The 27,337-nt window shown below is 42.3% G+C and overlaps 1 protein-coding gene across 4 annotated transcripts in view, besides 1 other annotated feature; it reads left to right on the plus strand.

Annotated features, from left to right (window-relative positions):
• Positions 5,578 to 5,778: a silencer, noted in NCBI's record as "fragment chr11:113766496-113766696 (GRCh37/hg19 assembly coordinates)". NCBI's record gives its function as "represses an EF-1alpha promoter that drives an FKBP-Casp9 reporter gene in an ReSE screen in HepG2 liver carcinoma cells {active_cell/tissue: HepG2}" and the evidence as "EXISTENCE:reporter gene assay evidence [ECO:0000049][PMID:32094911]".
• Positions 8,727 to 27,337, plus strand: part of HTR3B (5-hydroxytryptamine receptor 3B) — a 50,157-nt gene continuing 31,546 nt past the window's right edge. For 2 of the 4 annotated variants that reach the window (NM_001363563.2, XM_047427869.1), the window contains exon 1: positions 18,800 to 19,259. In NM_001363563.2, the coding sequence (NP_001350492.1) occupies positions 19,080 to 19,259 (180 nt within the window). In that variant the 5' untranslated portion in view covers positions 18,800 to 19,079. Of the gene's footprint in view, positions 8,888 to 14,599; positions 14,790 to 18,799; positions 19,260 to 27,337 lie in introns of those variants that run through there. The other 2 variants (XM_024448767.2, NM_006028.5) reach the window with 2 other exon arrangements.

Here is a 27,337-nt window from a genome sequence, read left to right on the forward strand (position 1 = left end):
CCTTGGCCTCCTGACGTAAGTGCTGGGATTACAGGCATGCGCTACCATGTCCAGCTGAGACCTCATCTTCATCTTTAACTGAGCTATAAAGAGCTTATTTTCCCTTTTCTAAATGACAGATTGAAAATAGTTTTGTTGGGCCAGGCACAGTGGCTCAAGCCTATAGTCCCAGCACTTTGGGAGGCCGAGGGGGGGCGGATCACGAGGTCAGGAGTTCAAGACCAGCTGGGCCAACATGGTGAAACCCCGTCTCTACCAAAAATACAAAATTTAGCTGGGCGTGGTGGCACACACCTCCAATCCCAGCTACTCAGGAGGCTGAGACAGGAGAATTGCTTGAACCTGGAAGACAGAGGTTGTAGTGAGCAAAGATCGAGCCACTGCACTCTAGCCTAAGCAACAAAGTGAGACTCTGTCTCAGGAAAAAAAAAAAAAGAAGAAAGAAAGAAAAAGAAAGAAAATAGCTTTGTTCTCACAAAATAATTGAAATTTTTTGTTTGTTTGTTTTTGTTTTTGTTTTTTTGAGACAGAGTTTCATTCTGTCGCCCAGGCTGGAGTGCAGTGGTACAATCTTGGCTCACTCCAACCTCTGCCTCCCAGGCTCAAGTGATTCTCATGCCTCAGCCCCGCGAGGAGCAGGGACTACAGGCATGTGCCACCACGCATGACTAATTTTTGTTTTTTCATTTTTTGTTTTTGAGACAGAGTCTCGTTCTGTCACCCAGGCTGGAGTGCGGCTCACTGCAGCCTCTACCTCCCGGGTTCAAGTGATTCTCGTGCCTCAGCCTCCTGTGTTGCTGGGACTACAGGCCTGCACCAACACGCCCAGCTAATTTTTGTATTTTTAGTAGAGATTGGGTTTCACCATGTTGGGCAGGCAGGTTTCAAACTCCTGACCTCAAGTGATCTGCCCACCTTGGCCTCCCACAGTGCTGGGATTACAGGTGTGAGCCACCACGCCCGGTCTAACTTTTTTTCTGAGACAGAGTCTTGCTTTGTTGCCAGGCTGGAGTGCAGTGGCGCGATCTCAGCTCACTGCAACCTCCACCTCCTGGTTCAAGTGATTTCCCTGCCTCAGCCTCTCAAGTAGCTGGGATTACAAGCACACACCACCACGCTCAGCTACTTTTTGTATTTGTAGTAGAGACAGGGTTTCACCATGCTGGCCAGGATGGTCTGGATCCCCCGACCTTGTGATCCGCCCCCCTCGACTTCCCAAAATGCTGGGATTACAGGTGTGAGCCACCACACCCAGCCAAACTCAGCTTTTAATTGTTGGTTAATCGCTCTCTGTTTTTCTTTATCTTTTTCCTGAGTTCAAGTCAACTCAATAGCCATACCCACTCAATTCCACTGTTTTTTTTTTTTTTTTTTTTTTTTTTGGAAACAGAGTCTCGCTCTGTCGCCCAGGCTGGAGTGCTGTGGTGCGATCTCGGCTCACTGCAAGCTCCGCCTCCCAGGTTCATGCCATTCTCCTGCCTCAGCCTCCTGAGTAGCTGGGACTACAGGCGACAGCCAACACACCCGGCTAATTTTTTTTGTATTTTTAGTAGAGATGGGGTTTCACGTGTTAGCCAGGATGGTCTCGATCTCCTGACCTCATGATCTGCCCACTTTGGCCTCTCAAAGTGCTGGGATTACAGGCGTGAGCCACCGCGCCCGCCCCTGGGTCCCATCTTATACCATAATGTCAGAATCTATAGAGATGGGACCCAGGTCATTTAAAAATACTCGATGAGCCTCATGTGCTGCCATGCTTGCAGATTACTTGCTTAGACATCACAGCAGTATAACTTAGACTTCAGATTTTAAAATTTCATATTTTATTCTTAAAATATGTGGTCAAGATAGGAACCATGTGACTCTGGTAAAATTATGGCAAAGTCATCAACAAATATTTGGGGAAAGAGCTTTTTCCAGGAGGCGTAATATTTTTTTTCTTTCTTTGAGATGGAGTCTTGCACTGTTGCCCAGGCTGTAGTATAGTGGTGCGATCTCGGCTCACTGCAACCTCCACCTACTGGGCTTAAGTGATTCTCCCGCCTCAGCCTCCCAAGTAGCTGGGACTACAGGCAGGCGCCACCATGCCCGGTTAATTTTTGTATTTTTAGTAGAGATGGGGTTTCACCATGTTGGCCAGGCTGGTATCGAATTCCTGACCTCAAGTGACCCGCCTGCCTCAGTCTCCCAAAGTGCTGGGATTACAGGTGTGAGCCACCGTACCTGGCCAGGAGGAGAAATATTAACTTGAAAAAAGCAATGCCGGGTGCGGTGGCTCACGAGGTCAGGAGTTCGAGACCAACCTGACCAACATGGTGAAACCCCGTCTCTACCAAAAATACAAAAATTAGCCAGGCGTGGTGGCACACACCTGTAATCCCAGCTACTTGGGAGGCTGGGGCAGGAGAATCGCTTGAACCTGGGAGTGGGAGGTTGCAGTGAGCCGAGATCGTGCCATTGCACTCCAGCCTAGGTGACAGAGCGAGAGTTCATCTTTTAAAAAAAAAAAAAAAGCAATAAACCAGCCTGGCCAACATGACGAAACCCTATCTCTACTAAAAAATACAAAAATTAGCCAGATGTGATGGTTATGATCCCAAGGATGCCTGTGAAACCAGGTACTCAGGAGGCTGAAGCAGGAGAATCACTTGAATCCCAGAGGCGGAGGTTGCAGTGGGCCCAGATCGCACCACTGCACTCCAAACTGGGTAAGAGACCGAGACTCCGTCTAAAAAAAAAGTAAAAAGCAACACAACACATAATTAGCCAGGTGTGATGGCATCGTCTGTAATCCCAGCACTTTGGGAGGCTGAGGTGGGAGGATCTCTTGAGGTTAGGAGTTGGAAACTAGCCTGGCCAACATGGTGAAACCCCATCTCTACGAAAAATACAAAAATTAGCCAGGTATGGTGGTGGGTGCCTGTAATGCCAGCTACTCAGGAGGCTAAGCCCCAGAATCGCTAGAACCGGGAGACGGAGGTTGCAGTGAGCTGAGATTGCGCCACTGCACTCCAACCTGGATGACAGAGTGAGACTCTTTTTTGTTGTTGTTGTTGAGATGGAGTCTCACTCTGTCGCCGAGGCTGGAGTGCAGTGGCGCGATCTCAGCTCACTGCAACCTCTGCCTCCCGGGTTCTTGCCATTCTTCTGCTCAGCCTCCCGAGTAGCTGGGACTACAGGCACCCGCCACCACGCCCAGCTAATTTTTTTGTATTTTTAGTAGAGACGGGGTTTCACCATCTCAGCCAGGATTGTCTCCATCTGGGATTACAGGCCTGAGCCACCGCGGCCGGCCCAGAGTGAGACTCTTGTCTCAAAAAAGAAAAAGAAAAGTGTTAATTGTATTTCTGTATGTTTGGGCTCTGCAAAGTTAATCATCAGGTTACTGGAAATTTAATTGTCTTCTTTTAAATTTATTTTTATTTTATTTATTTATTATTATTATTTTTTGTGATGGAGTCTCGCTCTGTCACCCAAGCTGGAGTGCAGTGGCATGATCTCGGTTCACTGCAACCTCCACCTCCCGGGTTTAAGCGATTCTCCTGCCTCAGACTCCCAAGTAGCTGGGACTACAGGCACAGTCACCATGCCCGGCTAATTTTTGTATTTTTAGTAGAGACAGAGTTTCACCATGTTGGCCAGGCTGGTCTCTTGACCTCGTGATCCGCCAGCCTCAGCCTCCCAAAGTGCTGGGATTACAGGCGTGAGCCACCGCTCCTGGCCTATTGTTATTTTGGGGGGCCAAGTCTTGCTCTGTTGCCCAGGCTGGAGTGGAGTGGCACAATCTCTGCTCACTGCAGCTTCCGCCCCCTGGGTTCAAATGGTCCTTGTGCCTCAGCCTCCCCAGTAGCTGGGATTACAAATGCATGCCACCACCCCAGCTAATTTTTGTATTTTTTGGTAGAGACAGGGTTTCAAGACTGGGTGTGTCTCACATCTGTACTTCCAGCACTTTGGGGGGCCGAGGCAAGTGGATCACTTGAGGTCAGGAGTTTGAGACCAGTCTGGCCAAATGACAAAACCCCATCTCTGCTAAAAATAAAAAATTTAGCCGGGCATGGTGGCAGGCGCCTGTAATCCCAGCTACTCAGGAGGCTGACGTTTGAGAATCGCTTGAATCCAGGAGGTAGAGGCTGCAGTGAGCTGAGATTGCTCCACTGCACTCTAGCCTGGGTGACAGAGCAAGACTCTGTCTCAAAAAAAAAAAGAAAAGAAAAGAAAGAAAGAAAGAAAGAAAAGGGACAGGGTTTCGCCACGTTGGCCACACTGGTCTCGAACTTCTGACCTCAAGTGATCCACCCGCCTCTGTCTCCCAAACTGCTGGGATTATAGGCGTGATACCATGATGCCTGGCCTTAATTGTCTTCTGAAGGAATAAGAAACTTAGTGCCTCCCGTGTGTCTGTGCTGTCTCTGAAACAGAAACTGATAGTGGTCTTTCTAGATCTTTTCAGACCTCCGTTCCTCTTCTGCACTCCCTCTCTTGGCTTCCCTGCACTGTGGCTTCCAAGGCCCACACCTAGGACTTTTGTTGGAGACGTCTCCTTGGCTACTAAAGCTTTGTCTGCCCAGGAAAAGACCAGGAAATATCTGGGAGTTCACTCCCTGTTCCCCTTAGCCAACAGCTGACAGGTGGGAGTGAGAGTGTGCAGGCCAGCTTCCCTTGTGTGGTTTTCACTGTCAAGTTTCCCTGAGGGTTCAAGCTGAAACCACGCTCCCCTTTCCCAATTTCTATTGGGAGTATTTCTAAAATTGATTGCTTGTACACAAAGCCTTATTATAGGTATGTTTCAGGGAAACCTAATCTAAGACAGTCAGCGTTACAGAGTTTTATCCCTCCTGTCAATATTAAAATTTGATATGGCTTTTAATTTTTTTAACTTTTAATTAAATTTTTATTTGACCAAGAGAAAACTGTCTAGAATTGTCTGACATTTAAAATCCACTTAAACAAAGCAGATTACCACCTTCAAGCATCACAATTATTCAGCATAAAGAACCTTTGTTGAAACATCTTTCTCATTTATTTAGGAGGAAAAATAAATCTAGAACAGAACCAAACAAAACTTTTTTATTTTTATTAAAAAATTCCAATTCTTAAAATACCATGAACCATCTACTGAAACTGTACTTCAACAAGGGGCAGGATTTATCTCAAGGCCATGTTCACCTGCAACCTGCTGATAAATCTCTTTTAGAAAACTTAAGTGGCTCTACTGCGATTATTGACTTGTGTCTGCTCCACTTGACTGTATGCAGATCGAAAGCAGGGTTGGTGCCTTCATAATCTCTAAATAATCTGAACATGGAAACGACTGCTTTGTGCTTTTAAAGAGCTCATATACTTCTAGTCCTGTTCCCTGGGGCATCCTCTGAAACCTGATACACCAGTCTGCCTACCAGGACACTGTGTTACTGGCCCGCTGGGTGGCCAGAGACGAGCTTTACTCTACTAGAAGACGCAGTTAGTCCCTCTGGGGTCCTATCTTCGTAGTAAATCCCTGATATGGCTTTTAATAATATTGTTTATAACTTTTCAGATGTGCAGAAGACTTATTCCCATTCTTAGGAAGACAGTAGGAAAGTTACACTGTAACTTTCACCCGTTCACCCTCTCTTCACCCAGCTGAATATCAGTATTCAGCATAAATGCCATTTGTGAAAAGTCACTGAGGCTGGGCATGGTAGCTCACACCTATGATCCCAACAATTTGAGAGGCTAAGGCGTCTCAGGAGTTGAGCCCAGGAGTTCAAGACTAGCCTAGGCAACATAGGGAAACTAAAAAAAAAAAAAAAAAATTAGCCAGGCATGGTGATACTTACTTGTAGTCCTAGCTACTCTGGAAGCTGAAGTGGGAGGATCACTTGAGCCCAGGAGGTCAAGGCTGAAGTGAGCTATGATCACACCACTGCACTCTAGCCTGGGTGACAGAGCGAGACCCTGTCTCAGGAAAAAGAAAAAGAAAAAAAGAAGTTACTGAGTCAGTTTCCCAGGAAACTTGGGAGCTCCTAGGGACCAAGAGTTTGGAAGAATTGCAGTAAGGAGGTAGGAGGAAGGAACTGGCCGGTCATAAGCTGTGTGAAAACAGATCGAATGGGTTGGTGTGGATTGGTGCTGGTGAACGCAAAGAGGAGAATTTACAGCAAAGACGAATAGTGGTGACATGAAGAGAGGCCTGAAATGACTTTGAAATCATTTGAAAGTGCACTGTATAATAAAACTTAAAATGAGTTGGCATAGTTTTCTGGGGTTGCGCAGAATTGGTTAAGGCAGGCACGACAGCCACCACAAGGTGGTGCTCTGATTATATTCACAGCCACCAACTCGAATTTCCTCAGAGCTTTACAGTTCCCCACTCTGCTCTCAGTCTTTCTGGGCTCTAACTAGGGGTCTGTCACACTCCAGCCATACTCAGCCAGCCTATTATTAGTGCCAAGCCTTCCTCCTGGCGCGATGACAGTGTAAATTTCAGCAATGGCAGAAGGGGGACAAATACAGCTGTTGTGCATTTTAGAATAATTGCTATAGGCCATTTGGAGACAGATTTATAATAACAGCACTTATACAGACTTATACAATATTTCACTTTCCTATTTTATCCCCGGTCAACACTCTGCATCATGAACTTTTGAATTCTTTCAACTCATGTGAGTCTAGAATTATCTTCCCCCAATTTTACAAAGTGAGGCTTGCACCCTCCCCCCGACCCCGTTCCCAGAAGGCACCATGCACTCTCATCTCAACCTCCAGCCCTTTCATGTGCAATTCCTTTTGCTGGGAGCTCCGTTCACCCTCTCCCCACTCAGATGAATATCAGTACTCAGCACAAATGCTATTTGTGAAAAGCCTCCACCTACTCCCACTCCAAGTCTGGGCTCCTTTCTTTGCCTGGGTCCTCTCCAGTTCATCCATCTATAGGCGTTTCTCTCAAAGATTTCTTATCTGTCACCTCCAATCCACCTCTCCCCAGCTTTCTTATCCATAGATTGTCAATGTCTATCACAATTTCCTACTTACTAAGTGGATGAATGAATGAATAAATAAATAAATTTCTAAAGGATCAAAGATCTTTCCTCATCTTGAGTCATAGCAGAGATGGAAATATCCAGAGATTTACACCTGAACCAGAACATCTCACTGGCTGCAGTAATTGACTGCCTTTCCCCAGAAAATGTCTAAATGGGTCTAAATGGAAATGTTGGGGGCCCTACAGTGAGCCATAGATCAGGGGAGATCCCCCAGTGCTGGCACAGCAAGACTTCAAGGCCCATAATCTGTGCAGAAGATCTAAACAACATAGTGTACAGGGTAAGACTGTCTGTCGTATATTGTAGTCTCACTAAGCGGTTTCTTGGAATTGATGTCATTGGGAGCGTAAACAGAAGCAGCAAGCTTCTGTGTTCCTCCAAGTTCCTTCCACCTTCTATTTTCCTCTAGCTTTTGGGGTACATCTTACCCCCAAGGACTGTAAAATCTCTGAACTTGGAGTACACTCTGAGTGAGTCAAAGGGACTCATGATCTGCCTGCACCGGTGTCTCATGTTTGTCTTTTGCACTAATTGCTCCCTGGTTCTGGAGCAAACCAAATAAAGGCAATCTTGCTTCAGAACCAAGTTGTCATTCTCACCCATCCTTTGTGAAATGGGTGGTGAGTGTATCTCATCTTGGATGTGGTTATGAAAAGGCTGGATTCCTCTTGGCATCATCTTTCTGGCATAAGCCAGAATTCTTTTCTGTTCATTTGTTAATTCTTTCTTCCCTGTTTTCCTCCCATCTTTCTGGAACACTCAATGAACACTTACTAGGTGCCAAGCTCTACGATGGAGATATAAAGCTGAATAACACAACATTGCTCCACCTTCAAGGTATTCACCAAATTCTAGACTGACAGAAAAGTAAACAAATACTTATAACACACCTGAATGAGTACTGTAATGTAGGAATATATGAGGCCTTGTAAGATCAAGGGAGTGGTCACAGCATGTAGTTAGATGTTTTGAAAACAGCTGGTGGGAGGGGTCCTGGTGGGAGTGTTTGCTGATTTCCATGTGACAAATTTTGTCATTATGACTTTCTTCCTTTCTTTCTTTCTTTCTTTCTTTCTTTCTTTCTTTCTTTCTTTCTTTCTTTCTTTCTTTCTTTCTTTCTTCCTTTCTTCCTTCCTTCCTTCCTTCCTTCCTTCCTCTTTCTTTCTTTCTCTTTTTCTCTCTCTCTTTCTTTTTCTCTTTCTTTCTTTCTTTCCTTCTTTCTTTCTTCTTTTGAGGCAGAGCCTCACTCTGTTGCTAAGGCTAGAGTACAGTGGCACAATCACAGCTCACTGCAGCCTTGACCTCCCCAAGCTCAGGTGATCCTCCCACCTCAGCCTCCCAGCTAGCTGGGGCTACAGGCACGCACCACGATACCCAGCAATTTTTTTGTAGTTTTCGTAGACACAGGGTTTCACTACGTTAGCCAGGCTGGTCTTGAACTCCTGGGCTCAAGTGATCTGCCTGAGTTAGCCTTCCAAAGTGCTTCCAAGGTGTGAACCACTGCTCCTGGCTGACTGATTTCAATTTACCAACTGATATCACTGGAAACAAATGAAAAAACAATGGTCTTTTTGATCAGTGAGAGCTGGCTCCAGCACGTGACCATGATTTCAGCCTTGTGAGACCCTGAGCAGATCTGTTCATTCTGTTCCTGGACTTTTGACCTACAGGACTGTGAGCTAGATGAGTGCTGTTTTAAGCCCATAAATTTGTGGTAATTTTTAATGCAGCCGTAGAAAACTAACTCAATGCTGTTTAAACCCTCTTTAAGGATGTGAAAACTAAGGCTTAGAAGCAGTAAGGAGTTTGACCAAGGCCATGAGCATCTAGCAAGCGATGAAGCTAGGATGCACAATGAGGTAAGTCTGACTTGAAGGCCTGGGACCTTATATCTTATGCTCTATGACCTCCCATAGAAAACCATGACACAAAAACCACGAAAGGCCAGAACCATGAGGGACTCCATTCCCTTGTTTATTTGTTTACTTTTTAAGGACCGTAAAATGTGCATTATTATTAAAAATGAAATTCTAAGCTAGAGGAAAATCGAATGCTGAGTGTGTCTTTGGACTTGAGGTGCCTCCTCTGTGGTTAGCTTGATATTGATTTCAGAGGAAAACACTGTGGAGTAACAGAAATTTCATATGGGACTCTACTCATTAAATGTTTGAGTTTGGCTGGAATGTCCATTTCTGCTTTTTTCCTCCAGCCTGACCAGATGTGCTCAGAAAATTTGGTTCCCCGAATATGTACATCTGTCAAAATTCCTGTCAATTTTAGCATGACTGCCAAGGGAGTGAACAAAGAGAGTTAGCGATTAACTTCAAAGAACTTTGTTGGAGAGGAATAAAGATATTTAAGGCCTATTTTTTGAACTAATTGCATTTGCATATTTATGGGATTTACTGGTATAGCAGTAATTAAAAACTATTTAGTAGTCTTAAAGGACGCATAACTCAGTTGCTGTTTGCATAATAAACACTTCCTTATTATGTTTGCATAATAAACCCTCTCCCCTTGCTTCTTCCAAAAGACATCGGTCGATCTAATAGGTGCCATATCTTACTTGAAAATAATGGAGAAACAGAGTGCAAAGGCTCATGGGGATGTGAAGTGGGGACTTCTAAAAGAAATATATTTTCAGGTACTTTCTTAATGATGGGCTTGGCCTGAACTTCTGTAAGAGAATCGCAGATTCAAATCCCAGATTAAGTCTTTGTTTCTTTTACCCAAGTAATGCCACTTAAGAAGTCCAAACACGTTTGGGTGAGGTGGCTTACACCTGTAATCTTAAAACTTTGGGAGGCCGAGGCAGGTGGATCACCTGAGGTCAGGAGTTCGAGACTAGCCTGGTGAAACCCTGTATCTACTAACAATACAAAAATTAGCCGGGTGTGGTGGCATGCACCTGTAGTCCCAGCTACTCGGGAGGCTGAGGCAGGAGAATCACTTGAACTTGGGAGGCAGAGGTTGCAGTGAGCCGAGATCACACCACTGCACTCCAGCCTGGAAAACAGTGCAAGACTCCATCTCAAAAAAAAGAAAGAAGTCCAAATGCCTAGCCCCTCATGATTCCAAATTTTGACTTACATATACTGATCTGCTGGAAAGGCTAGAATGAGACTTACCCCCACACTCATCCTTCCAAGGATGATGTCTGGGGAATTAGCAGAAACAATGCAGATAAAAAGCTTTCTCTGGGTGGATGTATTAGTCTATTCTCACACTGCTATACAGGCATACCTGAAACTGGGTTATTTATTTTATTTTATTTTGTTTTATTTTTTGAGATGGAGTTTTGCTCTTGTTCCCAGGCTGGAGTGCAATGACGCAATCTCGGCTCACTGCAACCTCTGCCTTCTGGGTTCAAGCGATTCTCCTTCCTCAGCCTCCTGAGTAGCTGGGATAACAGGCATGGGCCACCATGCCCAGCTAATTTTGTATTTTTAGTAGAGATGGGGTTTCACCATGTTGGTCAGGCTGGTCTCGAACTCCTGACCTCAGGTGATCCACGAGACTGGGTAATTTATAAAGAAAGTGGTTTAATTGACCCATAGTTCTGCATGGCTGGGGAGACCTCAGGAAACTTACAATCATGGTGGAAGGGGAAGGGGAAGCAAGGCAACATCATCCATGGTGGAGAGAGAGAGAGAAGGGGGAAGCGCCACACTTTTAAACTATCAGGTCTCATGAGAACTCACTATCATGAGAACAGCAAGGGGAAAATCTGCCCCCATGATCCAATAACCTCTCACCAGGCCCCTCCTCTGACACATGCGGATTGAAATTTGAGATGAGATTTGGGTGGGGACATACAGCCAAACCATATTAGTGGATGAAAAATGCTGTATGTAAGATAGTGAGGAGGGACCATTTTTGTGAAAAACTGAAGGGTGGGGAGAGGAGCAATACCAAACCTAAAAGAACTGAGTATGAGCTGGGTGTAGTGGTGCATGCCTATATTCCTAGCTACTGGGGAGGCCAAGGCGGAAGGATCACTTGAGCTCAGGAGATCAAGACCAGCCTGGGCAACATACCAACACCTCATCTCTACTAAAAAGAGAAGAAATTAGCCAGGTGTGGTGGCACACACATATACTCCCAGCTATGGGAGGCTGGGATGGGAGGATTGCTTGAGGCTGGGAGATGGAGGCTACAGTGAGCCATGATCACACCACTGCATTCCAGCCTGGGCGACAGAGTGAAACTCTGCCTCTTAGGGAAAAAAAAAAAAAAAGCTAAAAGTACTGAGTAAACAAAGTCCAGACAGGACACTAAGATTAGAAAAAGAAAGATCTAAGCCAGCTGACAGTACAGAGCAAGGCTGTCAAGGAAAGATCAGGAAGCATTGTATATAAACTACTTTGAAGACAAGTCACTCATACAAAATCATTGCCATCTTGACAGAATTCATCAGCCAATAAAGAGCCATAATGGGCAGGATTACTAGACTGTTGTTAAGTTAGCTAATGAAAGTTGTAATGTACCTGTATTACACATCATTAGTAATGGCCTTCCAGTAACAGATGGGCATATCAGAAAGTGCAAAGAAAAGGGAGGGAAGCACGTCCCCAGAAGGTTTGACTTAGAGTCATAGCTTACTACAATGCATGGCAAGAATGCAATGTCGATCATCGCCTCAATTAAACCTTTGCATAAAGGGATGCTTCTGCATTGCTTTCCCATAAAAACTGCTACCTACATAGCTATATTGCCTGTAGCTTGCCTTTCTCTTGTCCTAATTCATCCCATAAGTAGAAGCTGACAATTCAAAGAACTGATAGGAAGAGCTGAGACTTTGAGGGCCAGATCAGTCCTCTATGATCTTCCCTCTTGATGAAGCCCCATTTATCTGCCCACCCTCTCTAAAGAGTATTTCTCAGATAAACTTTCCATAACTGTGTACCAAAGTTCCTCCACCAAGTTACATTTAAATTACTCTTTCTTCTGAAATATTTTCAAATGTATAGCAGAATTGGATGGATAGTACAAAGAATTCCCCTAGACCCCCACAATCATTTGAGAATAAGTTAGCGACATGATCAACATGATGTGCCCTGTTTTTGTTTTTTGTTTTTTTTTTCTTTTCTGAGACAGAGTCTCATTCTGTCGCCCAGGCTGAAGTGCAGTGGTGTGATCTCGGCTCAGTGCAACCTCTGCCTTCTGGGTTCACAAGATTCTCATGCCTCAGCCTCCTGAGTAGCTGGAATTACAGGCATGTGCCACCGTGCCGGGCTAATTTTTGTATTTTTAGTAGAGACAGGGTTTCACCATGTTGGCCAGGCTGGCCTTGAACTCCTGATCTCAGGTGATCTACCCACCTAGGTCTCCTAAAGTGCTGGGATTACAGGCGTGAGCCACTGTGTGCGATCTTCCCTCATTCTTGAATACTTAGTGTGCTGGTCTTACAAACAAGGACATTCTTTTGCATAATCTCTATACAATTAAAATCAGGAAACCAACATTACTACATTGCCACATTACTACCATCTAATCCACATACCTCATTCGAGTTTCAATTCTTCCCAAAATGTTCTTTATAACAAAAGGATCCAATTCAGAATCAGATATTGTGCTTGTGTCTCTTTAGTCTGATAGGTTCCTCAGTCTTTCCTTAACTTTTATAACCTTGGCACTTTTGTGTGTGTGTGTTTTTGTTTTTGAGACAGGGTCTACCTCTATTGCCCAGGCTGGAGTGCAGTGGCACAATCACAGCTCACTGCAGACTCTATCTCCTGAGCTCAAGTGATCCTCCTGCCTCAGCCTCCCAAGTAGCTGGGACTACAGGAGTGCACCACCACATTAAACTAATCTTTTATTTTTTTGTGTGGAGACAGGGTATCCTTATGTAGCTTAGGCTGGTCTCAAATTCCTGGGCTCAAGCAGTCCTCTTACTTCAACCTCCCAAAGTACTGGGATTACAGGTATGAGCCATTGCACCTGGCCCACCTTGGCACTTTTGAAGATGCCTGCTGTTTTGTTTGTCCCACAGTATGCCACTGTCTCATCTGGTGTTTCCTCCTGAATAGATTCAAGTTATGAATTTTTGGCAAGACTATACCGGAAGAGCTATGGAAGCTAGGTGTGCTTGTTACTATTGGGGTGTCATTCTCCTAGGCTGCTAAGTGGACAGAGCTAGGGAATATATGCATGTATGAACATGTGCAAACACACATTACATTTGTATTTATTTCTTTTCTTTTCTTTTTTTTTTTTTTTTTTTGAGGCGGAGTCTCCCTCTGTCTCCCAGGCTGGAGTGCAGTGGCGCGATCTTGGTTCATGGCAACCTCCACCTCCTGATTCAAACAATTCCCCTGCCTCAGCCTCCCGAGTAGCTGGGATTACAGGCATGTGCCACCACGCCTGACTAATTTTTGTAGTTTCAGTAGAGATGGGGCTCACCATGTTGGTCAGGCTGGTCTCAAACTCCTAACCTCAAGTGATCCACTGGCCTCGGCCTCCCAAAGTGCTGGGATTACAGGCTTGAGCCACCACGCCCAGCTTATTTGCAATTATTTATATATTTAGCAAATGTACTGAAAACCATGGGTTCACACTGATACCTCCAAAACCAAGTCAACACCAAATGGTTATCTTAGTTTTCTCTCTTTCTGTGTATACCACTCCCTTCACCAACAGTAAGAAAGCAATTAGGCTACATTTTATTGGTAGATGAAAATTAGGTGTAGAACTTCATGGATTCTAAACAAAGGGACTGAGTGATTAGGAGAATAGGAATCAAATATATACTTTCCCCCCTTCGGTTGGCTCTGTGAAAATTTATATCAAAATTTGCCTCTATAATCTCATTTTTAATAAAAAAGCAGGCAGATGTTGGAAATGGTATTTGTTTTTTCTTTCTAGAGCATCTGGGGGTGTCTAGAAATGGAAAATAGTGTTATTGTATAGAATTATGCATCATGTTCCTTAGTAATGAAAAATGAATGCGTATTCAATCAAAAAGTGAAAAAAAAACTTTTATTAAATGATGTTGAACTTTGTTTTCATCTTCAATAAGCCTAGAAGCATCCTTTCTAGAAGGTTACTTTCTGAATTGTGAGCAGTGAAAATTTGAGAAGCCCTCCTATTTATCAAAAGTCAATGTTTCTTTTAATTAAAAGGGCTTAGGAAAAACAAAAAGCACTTTTCCATTGCATTGTTTGCAGTTGTTCTTCATTAGACAATACCAGGTTTCCATTAGCCTTGTGTAATTCAAGAGCCCAAGAACCACTGTCAAATGCTGAAGATGTTACTGCATAAGTCTGATTTAGAACAGCTATTTGGATTTCAATTATTAATGAAATTAGTGTCCTGAATGTCAGCAAGAGTACTGCCTTAGGTAAAGGCTGTAAAGGAAATCATATTAGTGTGGAATTTCCTCTCCTTAGGGGCTCCTCTTAGATTACATTATTCACTTAGCTATCTCCTGTCAGGAAAATGGAAATGTTGGCCACGGTCTGATCTTGGGGCAGAACCAAAGGGAGAAGTTAAGGGATTTCATGACGGCATCAATTCCAAAACATTTGCATGGTGCTGGTATTGCCTTTGGTCCCACTGAGTGTTTACAAAATAGCACCAGTAAGGATAGCATCAACTGGCAAACGGAGAAGGAGGAGAACAGAGTGGAGAGGAACCCTGTTAGGAGAAATTGAGCGGCATTCCATCTGGTAGGCAAGTTTGCATTTCTCCTTTTTGGGATCTGCCCAGGAATGTTGTCAAGTGTAATGGCTCCCCTGTGGGCCTGCATCCTGGTGGCTGCAGGTGAGTCCTTTTAATAATTTTACTAGGCATTAAGGATTAACTCTTAGAAGATAGAGACAATATTTGTATACACCGTACTGTAGGACTTCTCAGGCATGTTTGTTTTTATTCATCGTCTGTAAAATGCCAGTCCTGTGAAGCTATATGGAAAACAATGATTTGTTTGTGACTTGGCTCCTATGATTGCAAATACGTATACATATAGCATCAGACTGTGGGGCTTTTTACACATAGCTGAAAATATGCTCTGAAATGTTATAATTGCTTGATAAATCTCTGCTTCTCTAGAAATCAAGCTCTCTGCAGGTTGATTGAGAGTTTGGGGCATTCTTTTTCAAATTTGCTTTTATGTGTGGATAATATGTTTTTATTATCCAAAATAGTCTTGGCTTCATTATCAGCTGTTAGCAGCCCAGAGAAAAAGTCCACTAGATTTGTCATGGCTACAGATATATGTATATCATTTTGGTATTAGAGGCCTTAACATCTCGCCTTACAAAATCTATATAGGTGATGAGTATATCTCTAAAGACAGGTACTATAAACTGGTAAGTTTTGAGTCTACAATTCCTCTTAAAAGTAATTTAGAAGTTAATACTTTTTTTTCTAAATTTCTAGAACTATATTTCCATGGCACCAGTATTAACTCTACTGAATTGAATCATTTTAGTTAGGATACAATTGATTCTTAGTACATGCGCACAAATCAAGAATTTATGATTATGCTGGTGTTCTCAACACCCCACTTTCTTGAGGTTTCTCCTAGAGCTCATATCTGAATTCTCAAGTTTTAGGATGTAACTGGAAGTGGAATGAGTCAATTATAGAGATGAGTTAGAAATTTGGTAGCCAGGAAGCTGGAAATGATTTTTTTATTGGGTAGAGAAGAAAAATAGCCACTTATCATTAAAGTATAAAAATCCTGGATGTTGAACATAAAGGATAAAAGCATATCTTAATTGTAAAAAATAAAAACAGAGGAAGTGTCATTAAATGCCAAATGGGTTTCTTAGTAGAAAATAATCGTGAACATTAAACTAAGATAAAATAGAAAAATGAAGGTAAGAAAACAGACTAAGTTCTTAACAATATCTCTCTAATGTTTTGTATTATGCATGATTTTTGTTCTAAATGTAGCAGAAAGAAGTGTTTTAATAGTGTCTGATAACCAGTGCTTTACCATAAATCATTCCGTGGATACTTGTTGCAGAAAGACCTGCCCTGTGGAATTGTACTGGGTTTTACTATGTTTACTTTACGTATTTTACTATATTTACAAATCAAGATGATTTGTTAAGTGTAAGAGCACGGAACCAATCCCAGGGGGCAGTGTGCTGGTATAGAAGGAGGCCTGAACAAGGAGAGCCAGCTAATTCCTGCTTCACCACTCACCAGCCACGTAACCCTGGGAAGTCAATTAATCTCTTAGAGACTCAGTTTTCCTGTAAGCTAACTTTATTTTGGATATTCATGACAATCAGATAAGACAGCATTGTTAAATTGTAAGGTGAAATGCAAATGTAAGATATTATTAACCTGAAAACACATGCAGAAAATACCACTGGCTATTTCTGTCCAATAATATACTCCATACAACATGTCAGTCTTCTTTTTGAAAGGTTACTTGCTGTTGTTCCTGATATTCTCAGGGAGCCAGGTTACACTTAATCATGTAGCGTCATGATTAAGAGCTTGGACTTCGAATCCAGACCAGCTGTGTGTAAATATCACTCCCTTCACTTGCAAGCTTCATGACCTTGGGCAGTGCTAAGCTCACTATGCCAATAGTCCCTCATCTGCAGGAATAGTGCACTCCTCACAGAGCTGTAGAGTACCTGTCTCATAAGTTTGTTGGGAACTTTGAAGGAGATCATTCATGTGAGGACTTAGCCTGGTGCCTGGCATACAGTCAGCATTCAATTAGTGTTAGGAATTCAATACATAAATCTCATTTCCTTTTAACCTCTCAGATATATGTGTAACTCTCTTATAATCCTACAGATACATAGTGACTAAAGCAAGAATAGTGCTTTCCATCAAAGTGCCCTGAACACTTTAAGATAGGTGCATGGGAGAGTAAGTCATTAAAACAAGGAAAACACAGGAATAATTTTACTGTGTTCTTATCTTCCTCCTTTTCAATCTCTCTTCACCTGCAAGTGCTTCATAGCTCAGTCCCTAACACATTCTACTTTCCAGAAATCTTACAAGTGAATCATTTGAAGCTGATTATTAGCATTCAAGAAGGCAGTTTTGGCGAGGAATCTTTTCTGGGTCTGTTGATAGCTTCCATCAGTGTCTGTTGAAACATCACTGAACTGTGAGTCATTTAGTGCTTGTGTGAATGTCACATTAGCTTTCAAGGGGCATAATTTACTGTTAATTAATGGTCACTTAAATCCTTAATCTCTCTCCTGTAATTGATCTTTCTCCTCAGGCAAATTTGCATTCATAGTAGAAATGTAATTTATTATTTCTTCCCATCTTAAACAAAGAACTCTTTCCCCTTTTGGTTTATTTAAGCATATTTCCATTTGCTTATTATTTTTCTCCTTTCAGTGCTTGATTCTCTTTTGTTCCTAGTCCTAGCTTCCAGAACTTTCTCTTTTTAACCAAGATTTTGACCCATTCTAGAAAACATGAGTTTATCCATAGGGAATCTATGGATTGCTTCCTAGACAAGATCGCAGAGGGGAATTTGAGTCTTTGTGAGCAGACAGTGCGAGGAACACATATTCATTTCTCAGAATTATGTTTTAATGCTGTCTCGGGTAATTTCCTGTATTGAAACATACTCATTTCGGTGTTTCCCCAACTGAGACTTGAATTGGGAGCTTCCAAGCGAGGTAAACGTGAAGCTGCCCACAGCAAAGTTGGCAGGAAAAGCACTGGGACAGCTTTGCCTTGTGCTCCTGACTTCCCTCCCCTGGGGTACACCAGCGAGAAATGTTCTCAGGTAGAGAGATTCACAGCACACTTTTTGACAATAACAGTTCACAAAAACCCTACAAATGATGCCTGATGCAAGCCACACACCTTAGTCCTGCACGCCTGAATAGCTAACGCCATTTTAGGCATCTTCTTGGGTGGATTGTTAGGGAGTTAAAATGCTCATTAGATTCCCAGTTCCGACGGTAATGAAAGTGTATATTGCACTGCCCACAAGGAGTCTGGCATTGTACCTCCAGCATTGTTGTTAGCGTTTTGGTCACACTGACATTGTTAAATCATAGAAATTGCTGCCTGTAGCGGCAAGTGACATGACATCATTCATAAAGAAATGGGTATAAACAGGATTGTCGCACAGGGAGAAGCGATCTCATTTACAGTTTCCTGCTGGATCCCTCATACCTTTGGCAGCTCATCAAAATAACCATCAAAACCACTGACAGCCCAGGCAAATTCACACGCAGGACACTACAGAGAGATTTCACTCACGCACTTTGTCAGGAGGTGTGCAATTTGCTTCGGTCCAATGACTGAGTGAAGCATTGAATCCCCTAAGGGCTGGCAAAGCTTGTGAACAAAATATCTTTTTGCAATTCAGAGAAAGCCCTCACAAATTTGTCACTTCCAATTGCTGGTGCTCATTTCTCTTGCTTCCCTTCCTCTGGCCTCCCTGGCCTCAACACCAGTCACAGCTCCTCTACAAATCAAGATTTTTGGGTCAGAAGAAATGGTTGTTCCCTGGAACCAGAGAGAATTTTCTCAAAACAAAGATCTCATTTTCTGACAAGTGCATTTTATTTAAGGACAGATGAAATGAGAAAAGAGATTTTTGAGGAGAAAAGTACAAATTGGGCTCTCGTTAATCCCTTTATCTAGAAATCTATACAAGTTTTTTGGGTTAATGGGTTTCTTCATGTTTTTTTGCTTGATTTTTCTATTGAATTTTTGAATTACGCATGAAAAATCAAAAGAAAAACCAACGCGGGAGTTAAGTTTTGGCTAAGTGTGTAGGTGGGTTTTTTCTAGATGCTAGGAGAGGATGATACAGGAATAAAGAAATTATTCTGTCTCCAAAATGCAAGATTGTTGTAAAATGGAATTGTAGGTACAGTTTTCCAACCTTGGAGATGGCGTTGATTTACTTGTTTTTACAATGAGGTTTCTCCATTGGGCACTTAGGCCATCAGCTTACTTTAAGCATTTGCCAAAGGCCCCACCAGCTGGCTGTGAATTGATGCAGATTTTGGTGAGCTGAAAGCTATATTCTAGTAAAAGCCACCGAGTCCTGAACAGTCTGAAACCTCCTAAAGAAACCAAGCTCCTCTTACTTTTATCTTCACAATGATAGTTTATTTTCCAGGAATTCTAGCCACAGATACACATCATCCCCAGGATTCTGCTCTGTATCATCTCAGCAAGCAGCTATTACAGAAATATCATAAAGAAGTGAGACCTGTTTACAACTGGACCAAGGCCACCACAGTCTACCTGGACCTGTTCGTCCATGCTATATTGGATGTGGTAAGGACCATCTTGCCCCTTCCTATTCTTGTTAACGTCTTTTGAAACAGTCTGCAGTTCATGCAGGAGCCTATGAGAGGTTATATTCTTGAGATTGTAGTTGAACTGGCAGGGAAGTTGCGCTAGATTCATTTTAGCAGTTAGGTAAAATATTCATTAGGCAAATCATGCTTTCTAGCCCCCAGTGGACACTGTGAAGGGCAAATTGTCTAGATCATGGAATTAAGATGTTTTAAGAATTGTGAAGCTGGGTGTGGTGGCTCATGCCTGTAATCCTAGCACATTGGGAGGCCAAGGTAGGCAGATCACTTGAGCACACGAGTTGGAGGCCAGCCTAGGCAGCATGGTGAAACCCTGTCTGTACCAAAAATACAAAAACTAGCCAGGCCATGGTGATGCATGCCTGTAGTTCCAGCTACTCAAGAGGATGAAGAGGGAGAATAGCTTGAGCTTGGGTGGTTGAGGCTGCAATGAGCCATGATCATGCCACTGCACTCCAGCCTGGGTAGCAGATCCAGACCTTGTCTCCAAAAAAAAAAAAAAAAAAAAAAAAAACTTGTGGTCATGGATCACAGTACATATTGTATGAATATTGCTGAAACCAAAAACAGTAATAGGTATTTTATCCTATGGTTCACATTTATTATGATAATAACAGATTTAAGAAGAGATTCACTACTTATTGCTTGAGATTTAAAAGAGAGAAAAAAATGCCTTATTATCTTGAGTTTATAAGGGGGCTTTTATACCTAAAGCGTTTGCTAAGGATGGTGGGGAGAATTTGTTTATTAAAGCATCCTTTTTCTCCTATGTCTGAAAGATGGGCTGTGGGAATGAAACGAACACTGTGAAGTAGTTGGCAGAGTTCTTAGGAAGCCATCAACAAGTGATGATCCTGATGGTTAGAACCTCTTCCTCTTCCTCCTTTTTTCTAATTACAAAGTCTTTGATTTCAATTGGTCCCAGAGTTATTTTGATTTCTCTCTCTTTTTTTTTTTTTTTTGAGACGGAGTCTCTCTCTGTCACCCAGGCTGGAGTCCAATGGCACGATCTCGGCTCACTGCAACCTTTGCGTCCCCGGTTCAAGCAATTCTCCTGCCTTAGCCTACCTAGTAGCTGGGATTACAGGCATGCGCCACCACGCCCGGCTAATTTTTGTATTTTTAGTAGAGACGGGGTTTCACCTGTTGGACAGGTTGGTCTCAAACTCCTGACCTCAAGTGATCCATCTGCCTCGGCCTCCCAAAGTGCTGGGATTACAGGCGTGAGCCACCACACCCGGCAATTTCTCTTAAAAACAGACTTTACTGAGCTCGTTTTGTTAAAGTAATTTTAATCATTGTTTTCCCATTTACTTCTCAAAAATTGTTTTCTTTTCTTTTTTTTTTTTTTGAGACAGAGTCTCGCTCTGTCGCCCAGGCTGAAGTGCAGTGGCACAATCTCTGCTCACTGCAAGCTCCACCTTCTGGGTTCATGCCATTCTGCCTCAGCCTCCCGAGTAGCTGGGACTACAGGCGCCCGCCACCATGCCCGGCTAATTTTTTGTATTTTTAGTAGAGATGGGGTTTCACCGTGTTAGCCAGGATGGTCTCGATCTCCTGACCTCGTGATCCATCTGCCTCAGCCTCCCAAAGTGCTGGGATTACAGGCGTGAGCCACTGCACCCGGCCAAAAATTGTTTTCTAATTGAGGTAAAATATACATATGTGGAAATACACAGATATTAAGTGTACAAGCTGATGAATGTTGCTAATTACATATACCCATATAACATTTATTTATTTATTTATTTTGAGACAGAGTCTGGCTCTGTCACCCAGGCTGGATTGCAGTGGCACGATCTCAGCTCACTGCAACCTCTGCCTCCCGGGTTCAAGTGATTCTCCTGCCTCAGCCTCCTGAGTAGCTGGGATTACAGGCATGCGCCACCACATCTGACTAATTTTGTATTTTTAGTAGAGATGGGGTTTCACCATGTTGGTCAGGCTAGTCTCAAACTCCTGACCTCAAAAGATCTGCCCACCTCAGCCTCCCAAAGTGTTGGGATTATAGGTGTGAGCCACCACACCCGGCTATTTATTTATTTTTTGAGATGGAGTCTCACTCTGTTGCCCAGGCTGGAGTGCTGTGGCACCATCTTGGCTCACTGCAACCTCCGCCTCCCGGGGACAAGCAATTTTCCTGCCTCAGCCTCCTGAGTAGCTAGGATTACAGGTGTCTGCCACCACACTCGGCTTATTTTTATATTTTTTAGTAGAGATGGGGTTCCACCATGTTGGTCAGGCTGGTGTTGAACTCCCGACCTGAAGTGATTTGGCCGCCTCAGCCTCCCAAAAGTGCTGGGATTACAGGCATGAGCCACGGTGCCCGGCCATATAACCCATATCTCTATCAAGATATCAAAGATCCCCGAAAAGGTCCCTTGTTCCCTTCCTAGTCCATCCCCATCCTCTTCACCCACAGAGACAAATACTCTTCTGATTATTTCTTTGAGCAGTGATTAGTTTTACTGGTTGTAGAACTCCATGTGATGAAGTTTTATTGTGTGTACTCGATTGTGTCTGGCTTTTTCACTCGGCATTTTGAGATTCACTTATGTTGCGGTGTGTATCAGCAGTTTGTTCCTTTTTCTTAATAAGTAGTATTCAGTTATGGCTATATCATGATTTGTTTATCCATTCTCCTGTTGACAGGCATTTGGGTTGTTTCCAATTTTAGGATAGTATGAATAAAGCTGCTAAGAATTTTCCTGTACGAGTCTTTTTGTGTATATGTTTCCATTTCTTTTTTCTTTTCTTTTTTCTTTTTTTTGAGACCTTGCTCTGTTACCCAGGCCGGAGTGCAGTGGCACGATCTCGGCTCACTGCAAGCTCCGCCTCCCGGGTTCACGCCATTCTCCTGCCTCAGCCTCCGGAACAGCTGGGACTACAGGCGTGTGCCACGACGCCCAGCTAATTTTTTGTATTTTTAGTAGAGACAGGGTTTCACTGTGTTAGCCAGGATGGTCTCGATCTCCTGACCTCGTGATCCACCCGCCTCGGCCTCCCAAAGTGCTGGGATTACAGGCGTGAGCCACCGTGCCCGGCGTTTCCATTTCTTTTAAGTAAAACCTAGAAGTTCTGTGACTGGGTCACAGGAGGGTGTATACTTAATGAGAAACTGCCATACTGATTTGCAAAGTGGTTGTGCATTTTACACTCCCACCAGTAAGCTATGAGAGTTCCTATTGCTACACATCCCTGCCAACATTTGGTGTTACCAGTCTTTTTAATTTTAGTCATTCTAGTAAGGGTATAATGGTATTTCATTGAGGTTTTATTAAAATTTCCCTAATGGCTAATGATTTTGAACTCTTTTTCATGTGCTTATTGGCTACTTATAAATTTTTCTTTGTGAAGTGCCCATTTAAGCCTTCTCTTATTTTTAAAATTGGGTCATTGGTTTTTTTTTATTGTTATTATAGATTTATAGGAGCTATTTATACATTCTGGGCACAGTCTTTTTTTAGATATTACCTCCTATATTATATAATATGTATTTAAATCATTATTATAATATAATAACATATAATATAGTAATTACATAATACATACACATATTATATAATAAATGTTTATTCCCAGTCTGTGTCTTCGCTATTCATTTTCTTAATGGGTCTTACAATGAATAGAAATTTTCAAATTTGCTGACATTTGTTAGTTTGTTATGGTTTGAATGTGTCCCCAAAATTTCTTTCTTTCTTTCTTTGTTTTTTTTGAGACAAAGTCTCAAAGGCTGGAGTGCAATGGCACGATCTCGGCTCACTGCAGCCGCCGCCTCCAGGGTTCAAGTGATTCTCTTGCCTCAGCCTCCCCAGTGACTGGGATTACAGGTGCCTGCCACCATGTCTGGCTAATTTTTTTTTTTTTTTTTTTTTTTTTTTTTTTTGTATTTTTAGTAGAGATGGAGTTTCACCATGTTGGCCAGGCTGGTCTCGAACTCCTGACCTCAGGTGATCCGCCTGCCTTGGCCTCCCAAAGTGCTGGGATTACGGGTGTGAGCCACCATGCTTGGCCTTTTTAAAAAAAATTTTATTTTTAGATGAAATCTCTCTCTGTCACCCAGGCTGGAGTGCAATGGCGCAATCTCGGCTCACTGTAACCTCTGCCTCCCAGGTTCAAGCCATACTCCAGCCTCAGTCTCCCGAGTAGCTGGGACTACAGGCACGTGCCATCACACCCGGCTAATTTTTCTATTTTTAGCAGAGACAGGGTTTTGCCATGTTGGCTAGGCTTGTCTCAAACTCCTGACCTCAGGTGATCCACCTGCCTCGGTCTGCCAAAGTGCTGGATTACAGGAGTGAGCCACCACGCCCGGCCTCCAAAATTTCATCTGCAAATTCATATGTTGATGGTATTTGGAGGTGGGGCCCTTGGAAGGTAATTAGGATGGTGGCTATATAAGAAGAGGGAGAGAAAGCTGACCTGACATGCTCTTGACCTCTTGCTGTGAGATGCCCTCCTCCATGCTACGATGCAGTGAGGAAGCCCTGATCGGATGCAGCTCCTTGAGCTTGAACTTTCCAGACCCCAGAGCTGTGAAAAATATATTTTTTTTTTTTTTATAAATTACACAGTCTCAGGTTTTCAGATACAGGAACAAAAAACGGACTAAGACAAAGTCCATTTCAATGAACAGTTTTTTTAATTTTTAAAAAGATTTAAAAAATGTTTTAAAAATTAAATTAAATTGGCTGGGCGCAGTGGCTTACGCCTGTAATCCCAGCACTTCGGGAGGCCGAGGCAGGTGGATCACCTGAGGTCAGGAGTTTGAGACCAGCCTCAACGTGGAGAAACCCCGTCTCTACTAAAAATACAAAATCAGCCAGGTGTGGTGGTACATGCCTGTAATCCCAGCTACTCAGGAGGCTGAGGCAGGAGAATTGCTTGAACCTGGGAGGCGGAGGTTGCAGTGAGCCGAGATCACGCCATTGCACTCCAGCCTAGGCAACAAGAGCGATACTCCAACTCAAAAAAAAAAAATTAAATTAAATTAATTTTGTTTTTTTGAGACAGTCTTGCTCTGTTGCCCAGGCTGGAGTCCAGGGACACAATCTCACCTCACTGCAACCTCCGCCTCCTAGCTTCAAGCAATTCTCGTGCCTCAGCCTCCCAAGTAGCTGAGATTACAGGTGTGTACCACCACACCTAGCTAATTTTTGTATTGAATTTTATTTTCTAATTAATATATATTACACGTTTGTTGATGACAGGCATTAGACTCTAGTCTTCTCATCTGGTTTTGGTATCAGGATTGTGTTGGCCTTATAAAACAGAATTGTTGAGAATTGTTTCCTTCTCAGTTTTCTGAAGGCGTTGTATAATGTGAATATTTTTTCTTCCTTACTGTCTGATAGAATTTACCAGTAAAACTATAGGGGTCTGGAGCTTTCTTTGTGGGAAGGTAATCAAAGGCAAATTCAACTTTATTTACACATATTCAGTTTTTTCTTGTGTCAGTTTTGCTAATTTGTATTTTTAAGAAATTTGTCTCTTTCATGCAGTTTGTCAAATTTATTGACTTAGTTGTTCATATATTTTTTTCTATTATTTTCATGCCCATAAGATCTCTAGTGATATGGCTTTTGTGTCTCATATTGGTAATTTGTGTTTTCTCATATTTTCCCCTGACCAATCTTGTCATAGTTTTACCAATTTTATTTTTTTCAAAGAGCCAACTTTGGGCTTTGTAATTTTTTTGTTTGTTTGTTTTGTTTTGTTTTGCTTTGAGACAGGGTCTCACTCTGTTACTTAGGCTGGAGTGCAGTGGCGTGATCACGGCTTACTGCAGCCTCAACCTCCCATGCTCTTTAGATATCTTTACATATTTCTTTTCTTCTACTTACTTTGTTTGTGTTTTTGAGATAGAGGCAAGAGACAGACAGAGTCTCTGGGACCCATAATCTGATTTTTTTTCCCTCTAGTTTTGGCTTATACACAATATTATACAAATGGAATTATATGTTATTTTACCTTTTGTGCATGGCTTCTTTCACTTAGCATAATGCCTTTGAGATTTATCCATATTGTTGCATAACTCAGTAGTAGTATTTTATTGTACAGATGCACTACAATTTATCTGTTTACCAGTTGTGGGACACATGGATTGTTTCCATTTGGGGGCAATTATGAATAAAGCCACTATAAACATTTGCATATGTTTTTCTTTCTCTTGGATAAATGCTTAGGTATAGTATTGGTGAGTTGTATGATGGGTCTATGTTTAATTTTATAAGAAACTGTCCAGCTTTTTTCCAAAGTGGCTGTTATCATTTTGCATGTCACTCATAATGTGTGAGAGCTTCAGTTTCTCCACATAATCACTACTCCTTGAAGCTGTCAATCTTTAAATGTTTTTTTTTTAGACGGAGTCTTGATCTTGTCGCCTGGGCTGGAGTGCAGTGGCATGATCTCAGCTCACTGCAACCTCTGCCTCCTGGGTTCAAGTGGTTCCCCTGCCTCAGCCTCCTGAGTGGCTGGGATTACAGGCACCCACGACCGTGCCTGGCTAATTTTTGTACTTTTAGTAGAGATGGTTTCGCCGTGTTGGCCAGGCTGGTCTCTAACTCCTGATCTCAGGTAATCTACCTGCCTCGGGCTTCCGAAGTAGTGGGATTATAGGCATGAGCCACCGTGCCCGGCCCAATCTTTAAAATTTTAACCATTGTAGTAGGTTTGCTGTAGTATCTCAATGTAGTTTTTAATTTTTATTTCCCTAACATTTGAACATGTTGAACATTTTTTCATGTGCTTATTTGCCAATTGCCAACTGTATATCTTCTTTGGTAATATGTCTGCTCAAATCTTTTATTTAATTTTAAAGTTGGGCTGTTTATTATTTTATTATCAGGTTACAAGAGTTATTTATATACTCTGAGCTTATTTCTTGACTCTGTTCTATTCAACTAATCTGTATGTTTGTCTTTCTAACAATACCACACTGTTTTCATTACTGTAGCATTATGGAAGTCTTGAAATAAGATAATGTGAATCTTCTAATCTCGTTCTTCTTTTTAAAAATTGTTTTAACTTTTCTAGGTTGTTTGCATTTCCATATAAACTTTAGAATTGACTCATCAATGTCTATTTTTAAAAACTTCTGGAATTTTGATTGGTACTGCACTGAATCTATAGATAAATTTGAGGAGTACTGACATCTTAACAATACTGAGTTATCCAGTCCATACATACAGTGTATCTCTCTGTTTAGTTCTTTAATTTCTTTTATTAATGTTTCATCATTTTTAGCGTTTTGCATACATTTGGTTAAATTTATTCCTAAGTATTTCACATTTTTTGTTATTATAAATGGTATTTTAAATTTGAATCTAGTTGTCTGTTGCTAGCATACAAAAACACAGTTGATTTCTAGATATTGGTCTGGGATTCTGTGACCCTTACATTTCTTTTTCGCTTAAGAGGCTTTTTTTGGTAGATTCTTTCAGATTTTCTGTGTAGAAAATCATGTTGTCTGTGAGGAAAATCAGTTTTACTTCTTTCTTTCTGATCTTTATACATTTGTTTCCTTCTAGTGTCTTGTTACCCTGACTAGGGCCTCCAGTACAATGTTGAACAGAATGGTATACTGCTCTATAAATATTAATTCAATAAATGTGGTTGATAGTGGTGTTGAAATCTTCTATTTTTTTTTTTTTTGAGATGAAGTCTCACTCTTGTCCCCCAGGCTGGAGTGCAGTGGCGCAATCTCAGCTCGCTGTAAACTCCGCTTCCCGGGTTCAAGTGATTCTCCTGCGTCAGCCTGCTGAGTAGCTGGGATTACAGGTGCCTGCCACCACGCCCAGCTAATTTTTCTACTTTTATTAGAGACGGGGTTTCACCATGTTGGCCAGGCTGGTCTTGAACTCCTGACCTCAGGTGATCCACCCACCTTGGCCTCCCAAAGTGGTGAGATTACAGCCGTGAGCCACTGCACCCGGCCGAAATCTTCTATTTTTTTTCTTCCAGTTGTTTTATTAACTTGATGGAGTGGAATGTTAAAATCTCCAGTTATGATTGTTGTTTGTCTATTTCTCTCTTTGG

Source organism: Homo sapiens, chromosome 11 (assembly GCF_000001405.40).
Source record: "Homo sapiens chromosome 11, GRCh38.p14 Primary Assembly".
Lineage (NCBI taxonomy): Eukaryota > Metazoa > Chordata > Mammalia > Primates > Hominidae > Homo > Homo sapiens.